This window comes from Homo sapiens, chromosome 3, assembly GCF_000001405.40.
Source record: "Homo sapiens chromosome 3, GRCh38.p14 Primary Assembly".
Classification (NCBI taxonomy): Eukaryota; Metazoa; Chordata; class Mammalia; order Primates; family Hominidae; genus Homo; species Homo sapiens.
In genome coordinates this window covers 154,106,687-154,118,753 of record NC_000003.12, presented here as the reverse complement: position 1 = coordinate 154,118,753, position 12,067 = coordinate 154,106,687, and the positions used below count along the sequence as shown (strand labels likewise).

General features: G+C 38.7%; 1 long non-coding RNA gene across 1 annotated transcript in view; it reads left to right on the top strand.

The window, feature by feature from the left end:
* Positions 1–12,067, top strand: part of ARHGEF26-AS1 (ARHGEF26 antisense RNA 1) — a 96,810-nt gene that overhangs the window by 2,457 nt on the left and 82,286 nt on the right. The window contains exon 2 of the long non-coding RNA NR_037901.1: positions 9,969–10,085. This is a non-coding gene — a long non-coding RNA (ARHGEF26 antisense RNA 1). The remainder of the gene's footprint in view (positions 1–9,968; positions 10,086–12,067) is intronic.

The window sequence follows — 12,067 nt, the reverse complement described above, 5'->3', positions numbered from 1 at the left end:
GCCTCCTAGACAATGACACTCATTCTGCAGTTGTGATGCTGGCACTATCCCATTTGACTAAACACATAGTTTTCTTGTTCAACTGAATTGTATGTCACTACAAGCTATGCAGCTTCTCTATTAATGGCCAGGAGAAAGTTTCTCACAAATGGTAGTTTCATGCCTTAACCATAGTCCTGCATGATACATGAATTGGTTATATCAACCTCTCTTTGCTTTAGAATTTCTTTCACCTAATCTGTCATATCTGGTAATTTCTCCTGCCTTCAACTATGTTTCTTGGCATATGGCTTTGACACAACAGGACTAAATTTCATAGAATTTAGTAGAAATGATAACAATTCATTTATGCCCATGTTCAAAAATAGGCAATGCCAACTATATCATCACTATCACCTGGCCACTGGATGTTTATTTGATAGTAAGACACATCCCAGTTTCAAAGAAATTAAAATGTGGTACCAAATTATTCTTAAAATTGAAGAAATACAGTATGTCAAACTATTTGTAATGATATTTTCCGCTGGTATATTCCAATGGTATATTGAACTATTAGAATATTCAATGGTACAACGCAAGATATATATGGCTACATTTACTAAACAAATTCACATTGGTCACAAATTTTGTGTCCCAAGCACAATAATTTGGCTAATTTTTAAATGCAAATTGTTAGCTAGTCTTATTACAATATATGTCCAATTTTCCAGTATTTCCCATCCCGTGTACCTTTTGTTTATTTATACATTCAACAACTATTTATTGGGTGCATTCAAGTGCCAAGCATTAAGACAAACATTCCTGAACCTTACAGTTTGGCTCATGAAACATGACTGAAACATTAAAATAAAAGACACCCAAACTGTGTAAGATGCATAGTAAGCTCTCTGTTCTATGGAAACCTTTGTGAAGGAGTCTGGATAAAACTGGCCCAGAAGGGTAGATAAAGTATTGCAAGGTGGAGAAGCGGACAATGATGTCACAGAAAGATTTCCCAGGATAAGCAAAAACATGGAGGGATGGCTGGAGAACTGATATTCATTAAGTGCCAACTGTATTTTAAGCTTTGTTGTTTGTTACACATAACTTAATCTCACATTAGTTCTGAGCCCACTTAAATATGAAGCTGAAGCCCAAAAAGCTCTTCTCATACTGTTGATAATTGGTTGAGTCAGAATCCTAAACTTTTTCTTTACAATACTCCAGAGCCCATGCATCAAAACATACAAGAAACTAAGCTCACCAAAACACAGTTTGCTTTTAGAAGTTGTGGGATGTTAATTTGGCTGAATATGGTGAGAATAGAATGTGGTATGCAACAGAGACTGAGGGATTGAGATTTTACCTGAATGACAACTAACTACTCTGATATGATTTGGCAGTTTGGCTCTGTGTCCCCATCCAAATCTCATCTCAAATTGTAATCCCCATGTGTTCATGGAGGGAGGTGATTGGGTCATGGGGGCAGTTTCCTCCATGCTGTTCTCATGATAGTGAGTGAGTTCTCATGAGATCTGATGGTTTTATAAGCGTCTAGCATTTCCCCTGCTTGCACTTCTCTCTCTTGCCACCATGTGAAGAAGGTTCTTGCCTCCTCTTCACTTTCTGCCATGAGCGTAAGTTTCCCGATGCTTCCCCAGCCATATGGAACTGTGAGTCAATTGAGCCTCTTTCCTTTACAAATTACCTAGTCTCAGGTAGTATCTTTATAGCAGTGTGAAAATGGACTAATACATACTCCTTGAAGAGATTTAAACTTTGCCATCTTCTAAAAAATGAATATGATGACACCAGTGTCAGAAATAAAAAACAAAACATTGACAGATTTGACAATTTAAACATTTTAACCTTTGTGCATTAAGAAAAGCCACATAAACCCATACATTTTGAGGGAAATCTTCTCTTAGAAGGAAATTAGAGAAAAATATTTAAATATATATAAAATATAAATATAAATAGGTTTGTGTATGATATAGCCATTTAACACTTTGTCATATATATTTAAATATTTATATGTTGTATATTAAATATATATATTATATATTGAAATATATAAATATATATGACAAAGTGTTAAGTGGCTGTATCATACAATCAATAAGAATAAGATAACGAAAGTTGTAAAATGAACAGAGTAAGAATAAGCATTTTGGAGAAGACATGAATGTCCACTATACATCAAAATATACTCAATCTCAATAATAAAAACAAAATTTAAGAATTAGTGAGATAGTTTTTCATTTATTAGATAAGCAAAGATTGTCTTTTTTTTTTTTTTTTTTAGATGGAGACTTACTCTGTTCCCCAGGCTGGAGTGCAGTGGCGTGATCCTGGCTCACTGCAACCTCCACCTCCTGGGTACAAGCAATTCTCTGCCTCAGCCTCCCAAGTAGCTGGGATTACAGGCGCCCACCACCATACTCGGCTAATTTTTATATTTTTAGTAGAGACGGGGTTTCACCATCTTGGCCAGGCTGGTCTTGAACTCCTGACCTCATGATCCACCCGCCTCAGCCTCCCGAAGTGCTGGGATTACAGGCATGAGCCAGGGTGCCCAGCCAAGATTGTCTTTTAAAAAGGCAATACCCACTGTTGGTAAAAGCACAGGCAAAAGAGAATTCTGAATCATTCATGGTAAGAATGTAAATTGGTACCTCTTTCTGGAGAGCAATTAGATGATTCTTAACCAAACCTTTTGTTATGGTGGCCAAAAGTTAGCAACAGGCTAAGTGTCAGCAAGGGACTGGCTAACAAACCATGATGTGCAATGCAACCACCAAAAATAATTATGCAAAATTATAATTATACAAAAATTCAAAATATGTAATTAAAGTTTTTTTAGAAAACTGTTTTAATACACACTATGCAAAATATCCTACTTTGAGTTTTACAAACTGCAAATAGCTATATGTAAAACTGTTTGTAAATATATAAAACGTATTTGTGTATATATGTAATGCCTAGATTTTGAGTATTCACCAAAATGTTGTCATGTCTACTCTGCACAGCTGGATTAATGGTGATATTTAGGTATGTTTTGCTGTGAAACAAACCACCCCAACACTTAGTGACGTAAAATAGCAACTTCTATTATTTGTTATTTTTTCACCATTTTGTGGGCTGGCCTGGCAGTTCTTCAGTAGGTCTCACCTAGGTTTTCTAGTGTGGCAGCAGGCAGCCAGCTGTGGGGTTGTCTGGGTCGGGAGGACAAAGCCCCCTCACATGCCTCACAGCTGGTTGATGCTGGCTGTTATTTGAGGCTCCTATTCTCCCTTTCTCAAATCTTCAATGTTCTGAACAGGAATCCCCATGATTCCTGAGACAATGGAGTGGTAAGTCAAAATGACAAAGAAAATTCTGGAGAGGATACTTGAAAAGGAGGTTTTGAAAATTGACTAGATCTCTTTGGGAAAAGAGTTCTGAAAAGGAGACTTTCTACGACACTTATTAATGATTTATATATTATCTTACATGTTAACATTTTGTGAGCACTTACAGTATACAGACCCTCTTTGAAGTGCTTCAACTGTATTATATAATTTAATCCTCACAACAACCTTATGAGGTAGGAACTACTACTGTAATCCATTTATACACAAGAAAATTAAGTATAGCACAGAGAGGTTAAGAAGCCATGCATCCTGGCTCATAATTATTACACTATATTGTTACATGGTTTGTGATTCCATTATGCATTTATATTTTTCACAAATAATATATAAACACCCCAACGTCAGGCTGGTTCTTTATCTCCAGTATTGCTTCAGTAATGGACAGGTTGATCAATTGGTGAAAATGCCCAAAGTTATAAAGAAAAAGAGGTGGAGGAAGGGATGTCATGCAAGTGGGAAGAAAGCCACAAAAGCCTGAGAAAGGAAGTTTCCAAAAGGAAAGTCAGATCAGCAGCTCCTGGTTGGTACCTGGCCCTAGGCTACCAATAGGTACAGTGGTGAAGAAAATAGGCACATAATCCTTACCATGGTATATCGGGAAAGACTAACCTTAGATAGCATTGAATGCTAAAGATGCTGCTCACTTAGTGCCCTTGCAACTGGTACCTTCAGTCTTGGTGGGCACTGAACCCAACTGGCTGGGCTTATGGAGAAGGCAAGTAGAAAACAGTCTAGGAACTTAACTGCAACTGTGGGAATTGTGACAGTAAAACGAAGGAGAAAAATAGGGCAGTAGATGGAGGATAAGGGAGAAATAAACAGTTTTAGTTTCAAGACTGAGGACACTTGGCTAGACATTAGGAAGCTGGGTTTGAGTTTGTGTTTACCACTTTTGAACTGTGGGAATGAAGACAAGTCATTTAATCTCTAAGACCACAGTTTCTTCAGCTGCAACATGAAGTTGTTCCTCCTCGCTAGCACAGTTTGGGAAGCACTGGTATAGATTAGAATAATTTGGATGTGGCCGGTCTAATGGTTGGAGGAAAGTAGGACGTGGAAATGGAGATGGGGACAAAGAGTAGGGGAGACCTGGCCAGATAAGTGCACAAAAAACTGAATTCTAATTTATTTCCCCCCTCTTGAACAGCAAATAATTAGAATAAAATTTTGTTATTTTTAACTCCATGTTAAAGAATAAAGATCATAATGAGAAAAGGGTTAGGACTTGTTGAAAGTGACTCCGAGGACTCTGCATGGCCAGATGGAAGGGAAATGGCAAGAAGACTTCACCAAGTGGAGAAGGGCTTCTTTCTTGCTCCCAGCCCTTGCCTGCAGCATCCAATCTGTTCACCCACAACAGCAGTGAGAATGATTCAAACGTGATGCATTGAACCTCCAGTGACACCATGTTTTGAAGGGGAAGGTCCCCGTTTAACTAGAGTAATTAAGATCCCAGGTAAACCATGAGGTCAGAGTGAAGAGTGGCTCCCACAACTGGCAGCCACCAAGAGCTGTTAGCTTTTGTTCTTTGAATTGTAGGAATGAGATAAGCAATTGAGCAGCCACTTTGTTCAACGTGTTCTAGTATGAGCTCACTGTATGCCTTGTACGGACGCTTTACCTCTCTAAACAGTGATTTCCTTGTTGCTTTGTTTTTTGTTTTGTGTTTGCTGTAAAATATTTAATACATGCATGTAGTAAAAATTGGGACTGCACAAAAGTAAAAAAAATCTCTGTCACTCTTGTCTCTAGTTTCCAAGTTGGCCCGCTAGAGGCGTCCACTGTTAACAGTTTGTTGTATTTTATAAATTTTCAGATGTATGGTAGACATTAGTAAACATATATATCCCTACACATACTACACACTGGCACCCTATAACACTCCTCTGTTCCTTACAAATTACCTTAAATACAATTCATTTAATGCCGGTACTTATAGAACTACCATATATTTTTAATAGCTGTAGAGCATTAGGTAGATCAAATAAAATTGCCATTTTTATGAGTCAAAAGCAATCAAATATCAGGAATTTCATATGGTTTCACCTAATATTACATAATTCATTAGCAAGTTTCCTATTAACAGACATTTAAATTATTTATTCGCAAAATCTGAGCACCAATGGAAAAACTGTAAAATTCCTTCCAGCTCTTCATTTCTGTAATTCTTTGCTTTGTTCCCATCCCTGAATGCCTGGAAGATGTAAGATAGTAAAAGAGAATACTTTATTGAACAAAGATGCAGGTGTTATTTAATTTCGTTATGTTTAATTTAGAGTCTGCTCTTAATGCTGTCTTAATGGTGAAATCATCGTGCATCAACATGCTCTAAGCAGGGTTCTGGTACTTTCTGGGGAAATTGGGTTGAGGTGCTATTATCACTATTACTATTCTTTTGATGATTATTTCTCTCTTTTGTGTCCTTTCCGGGATCCTGCTCCTTCTGTGGATTAACAAGACAGCATGTAGAATCACAGCTCTTGTTTCATGAAGTTTGTTAAGTAATTTGAACAAAGGTGTGTTACACTATTCCTTTTGTACAACCAGTTTAATGTTTGCAAAAGAACTCAAGATTTAAAAAACAAATCTGTTGTGTCCACTCCAGTTTCCAGGTAAATTTATATCAGGAATCACATGAGGATACTTAAGACTGGCCGGTACTTTCAAGTTTTCTCCTGCCCAGATCTGTTTGGAAGAAATCTAGTCTTATCTACCTCAAAAGTCCAGCAGAGAATAATAGCTGAAATAAATGAAGCCTGTGATTACTTAGTTCTGTGTTTACCTAGACATTCTGGCATTTGGCTCAAAAGACAAAGCTTTTTAGATGTGCTATTTGAACCTGGTTTTGCTATAGATTTTAAATTGGAAGAAAAAATGGTAACAAAGTGAAGCTCTCTAAATCATACACATTTGGGCTGACTACCAAGCTCGTCTCACCCAGCAGTACTAATAGAATGTGAAAAATGCTTTCCAGAGATGAGGTCTGCCACCTAGCAACCGCTTTGAAATGCCTCCTGCACTGACCCAAGGCTACTCAAAATGCCCAGTTTTGAAATTGGTGGGACATTTTGCTGTGTATGGGCCACAGTCATTGAAAGGAGGATTAGAACTTTGTTTTTCAGGCCAAAGACATGCAGATTAGAAGGATTGTTTAATTTAACTGCTCAACTGGTTTGGAAATAGAACTGGCAGATTAAATATAGATGAAAGATGATTACATCGGATATACGCTAAAAAAAAATCACTCATTGTTTATCTGAAATTGAAATTGAACTAAGCATCCCGTATTTTTATTTGTTAAAACTGGCAATCAAATTTTGGAGAGACTTTTTTAGTACAGAGGTGAGGGATATTTGTAAAATATGCACTGTAAATATTAACTTGATCCCCCAAGGCTCATAACGTTGTAGACCTAGACACCTTTCTCAGAGCACTGGCTTGTGCCTGTGAAGAAGCCTGAAGCATAGGAGACCAAAGGTGTGGGTAGGGCAGAAACTAACTAACAGAAGACAAGAAATTGCTTCAAGTTTGCACTCAGGAAAGCTATGCTGAATGTAGGACAGGCAAACGAAGGGGTTGAGCACAGAAGGGCAGTGACATCCCCCAGGCAGAATGGTGGGTGGTGAGGAGAGGGAAGTGCCCAGAAATGAGAAGGAAGTGGACGTGGCACGACATCAGCAGTCATTTTATATTTGGGGGAGAAGGGGTGAAGTGAAGCCAGCTACATCAATGTTCACTGTGAAGCCTGGGCTGAGGTGGGAGGGGTGTAGCCTGGGATCCACTGGAGGGCATTGCCACCTTCATGCGGCATCCCAGCAATTCTCAGGCTGCTTGCACCAGCAAGGGAGCCAGCCTGGGAGTACAGAGGCTTTTTCAGGGACCCCCTTTCAGCTTCACCTGGCTCAGTTCTGAGCTTATCATTTTGTTATCAGAGCCTCCTATCCCCCAAATCTGTAGCCTCCACTCACAAAATTAACCTAGCAGTACAGAACAGTTAAAACATAGAACCACGTACATAATCCCTATGTGTTTGTGCATAATTCAATACCTTCTGAAGAACACACAAGAAGCTGCTAACTGTGGCTGCGGCAGTAGATGGCGAGTGGGTTGGAGGAGGTAGATCCTGGATGAAAGCAAGATATATTTATTCCATATATCGTACATGCTCATCTATTTATTTTTCCTTGTGTATGTATTACTGACTCAAAATGAAATTTAAATATAATTACTATAGACAAAGCCAGCCCAGAATCTGACTCACATTTAAACTACTTGCATCATTGATTTAAGGTGGCTCATTACACTAAGGTGTTTTAAAATAAATATTTTATATGGTTTTGTATTATTTATATGTTTGAGAGGCCTGGGGTCTGACATTTTAGTGTGCTTTCTGGAAAATTTGCTGCTGAAATAAGGGAAAAATCAATAGCAACCCTGGACAAAAAGCTTTTGCTTATCTTTTCAAGTATTTACTCTGAGTTCTGTGCCATGTTGGTTTTATATATAGATATTTAAAAGTGCAAAATGAAAGTTTGATAGAAACCAAAGTCTTTTATAGCATTTTTTCTAAATAAAAGCTATATGGAGTCCTCCTGTGTAAATTCCATTAGGCCAGGAGTCTCTGCCTCTTTTGTTCAGTAATGGATCTCTAGGACCTAAAGCCTTTCTTGGCATATATTAGGTGCTCAGTAAATATTTGTTGAATGAAGGAATACATAATCATTATAAAAATCCAAGCACTACAGAAAAATATGCCATGGAACATGTAATCTTTTCTAATGCCTTTCCTCCAAATAATCATTACCCTAGTCTCTTAAAATGAAAGAACAAATCATTTTCTGAGGTGTAAAATTTCATTATAAATATATTTTTTAAAAATAATTATCAGCAGTTCGAGACCAGCCAAGCCAATACAGTGAAACCTCATCTCTACTAAAAAATACAAAAATTAGCCGGACATGGTGGTGTGTGCCTGTAGTCCCAGCTACTCAGGAGGCTGAGGCAGGAAAATCGCTTGAACCTGGGAGGTGGAGGTTGCAGTGAGCCGAGGTCGCGCCACTGCATTCCAGCCTGGGCAACAGCATGACACTCCCGTCTCAAAAAATTATAATAATAATAATTAAATGGCACCATAAAGAATAAAAAGACAAGCAACAGAATGGGACAAAATGTTTGCGAAAGACTAGTATTTAAAATTACGTGAAGAACTCATTACAATCAATTAGAAAAACGGACAAAACACTTGAGTACACACTTCAGGTAAGAGTAAATCCTAATGGTCCAAAAACATATGAAAAGCGCTTCATCTCATTAGTCATGAGAGAAATGAAAAAAAAAAAAGAAAAAAACACAATCAGCGGGTTAACAAAAATGTAAAGTCTCTGGCCGGGTGCAGTGGCTCACGCCTGTATTCCCAGCACTTTGGGAGGCCGAGGCAGGCGGATCACGAGGCAAAGATCGAGACTATCTTCGCTAATATGGTGAAACCCCATCTCTACTAAAAATACCAAAAAAAAAAAAAAAAAAAAAATATATATATATATATACACACACACACATATATATATATATAAAGTCTCACAGTACTAATTGTTGGTGAGGACCCTGAGCAACAGGAACTCTTGTATACTGCCTGTAGGAGAGTAACTTGGTAATCTACTTTACATAACTCTTTGGCATTATCTTCTAAACCTGACTATACAACAATTTTATGTATATGAAATAAAAATTCATTAACATAAAAGCAATATTTATTACATGCCAAAATTGGCAACTACTCAATTATCTACCATCAGAAGAAGGGATTTAAAAGTATAGTATAGCTCCACTGTGGAATTCTACAAAGCAATTAAAATGAACAAATAGCATCTTCAGGCAAAAACATGGATAAACTGATTAACATATAGTTGTCATAAGGTTCTGTAATGGCTTCCCTAGGGGATCAGCAAGTTATTTCAGTGGACAGACTCTTTTAGCAATTCAGAAATATCCCAGTGCTGAGATAGTTTCTATCTGGAAAGCCAGCTCCATCTGGGGACAAGGTTTTATAGGGTTCTAAGGGAAGAGGTACATATAGAGGTCACTAAAGGGGTCTGTAGATGCAAGGTGGACTGTGGGGCCAGGGAAACATTCAGACACTGGCATACAGTCCCTGGCATAAGGAGCAAAGAGCAAGTCTATAGCTGGGGCTACCAGAATCTCTCCTGAGGTCTTTATGCTGGGATTCTTAGGCCTGGCTGTGGATCAAGAGTAAATTCTGCTGCAGTGGGGATTCTAAAGCATCTGGGAAGAAAGGGGCTGCAGAAACATGTGAGTCCTCCAACTACAGAATCCATGGAGGCAGAGACTCTGGGTGACGTGCTTGGCTTCTTGTCTCTGGCCTGGGGTCATTGTCACTGATGTTGGTCTTGCTGCTTCTCCTGCTGAGTGTCTTTGGCTCAGTTATTCTTGAACCACACCAGAACTTGCACTCAACTCAGGGTGAGTGTTTTAGCCCATGCCTCCATTTCTTTGTGGGTTGGCCATCTCATCTTCTCATAGTTTTTCTGTAACTCCTATCACTGTCCCCTATCATAGATATGTTCCTGACCCTTCCTTCTTGAAGGGACAGCTGTGTAACCATTCAACCATCTGGCCATCAGTTTCCACATCTGTGAAATCAACTTCTGCCTCATGGAGCCGTGAGTTCCCAAGGTACTTGTAATCCTTTACTACTGCTGTTTCTACCTGTTGTTGTCACTTTGTTCTGAAGAACCACTGTGAGTTGGTTCTGCAAATGTGAAGAAATGTGAGTTTTAGGGGGTTTGTATGAGCTCTACATATGGATAAAGACAGAACTTGTAGTTATGAAAATATAATGAAATCTGAGCTCTACCATTTTCTAGATGAATCTTTGAATAAGTCCCTAAATCTCTCTGACTGTAATTTCTTTATCTTGAAAGTGGAGGTAATACTCCTAGCCCAGACAACCACCCAGACTGGGTGTGGGCGTGAAATTTTAAAATGCTTATGAAAAACACCTTATAAAATCTATACAAAACAAAGGCAGACATTTATTATTTATTCACAGGGGCTGAATTCTCACAGTCAAATGAACATATGAATTGCCTGAGAAGCAATTTTTTTTTTTTTTTTTTTTTTGAGACAGAGTCTCGCTCCGTCGCCCAGGCTGGGGTGCAGTGGTGCCATCTCGGCTCACTGCAATCTCCACCTCCCGGGTTCACCCCATTCTCCCGCCTCAGCCTCCCGAGTAGCTGGGACTACAGGCGCCCGCCACCATGCCTGGCTAATTTTTTTGTATTTTTAGTAGAGACAGGGTTTCACTATGTTAGCCAGGATGGTCTCGATCTCCTGACCTCGTGATCCGCCCGCCTCGGCCTCCCAAAGTGCTGAGATTACAGGCGTGAGCCACCGCGCCCGGCCGAGAAGCATTTTCAAAGCACTCAAGGTCGACTCCTGCTTAGACCACACTGGTCTTGTGGTCTTGAGATGATTTTTATTCTGTGGGCTGCAGCAGAGCCCATGAATCTGCATTTTATAAAGCAGCCAGGTGATGTTGAAGTAGATGACTTTTAGATCTCACTTTTAGAAAATTTTGGTTTCACTTTGGGTAATATTAACTTTTTCACATGCAGATGTTATTTGTTTAAAGAAACCTTTAGTATTTCCCTATGAATAGAGGGGATATTAACATTGAGCATCAAATTAGGGATGCTAAAGGAGCTCTCTAGAACGCTTTCTTGAGGATATAAGTAGAATTCTGATAAGCAAAAGGAAATTTTCCAAGCCAAAACTTTGATGTGTGTATGTGTGTATATACTACTTACATATATTTTTTCATGCATCAATTGTTCATACCCCTTGTTCATACCCTTTGTGCATTTTTATGTTGGGCGGTTGATCCTTTCCTTATTCAATGTGAACACCTTGAGTATCTAGGAAAATAGGCTTTTGCTGGCTATATGTCTTGCAAATGTTTTTCTAGCTTGTTGTCTTTTGACTATGTTAATGCACTCATTGCTGTACAGATTTACAGCAAATATTTCAGTAAGTATTTTCTTGAACCACACCAGAAATAGTGCTTAACTCAGAGTGAGTGTTTTAGCCCGTCCCTCCCTTTCTTTGTGGATTGGCCATATCATCTTCTCATAGTTTTTCTTTAACTCTTATTACTGTCCCCTATTATAGATATTGTAGAGAGGCCTATTTCACGCTGTGATTATTTTTTAAAAAGTAACCAAACTAGGAGAATCACTTGAACCCAGGAGGCAGAGGTTGCAGTGAGCCAAGATCACACCACCGCACTCCGGCCTGGTGACAGAGCGAGGCTCCGTCTCAAAAAAAAAAAAAGCAACCAAACTTTCTTTGGGAGCACTTTTGCCCAGAGGGCATGTCTTACAGTAGATATTTTGGCACTAGTAATAGGCACCTCAACAATAGTGTTTCTTTCCCTCCTTTTCTCTTAGTGTATACATCACTGAACCAGTTGCTTTATTCATGTTTACTCTTAATCTTAGTGCCTCATCAGATATTACTGTCTGTACTTTACTATGAGACCTACAGAAGTGTTACAATGAGGATACTCTTTTCTTCATTCCCTACCCTCTGAAACAGTTTAAAGAGCCTAAGACTGACTCACTTGCTTTTTGAAAACTGGAAAACTTCACAGTGAAACT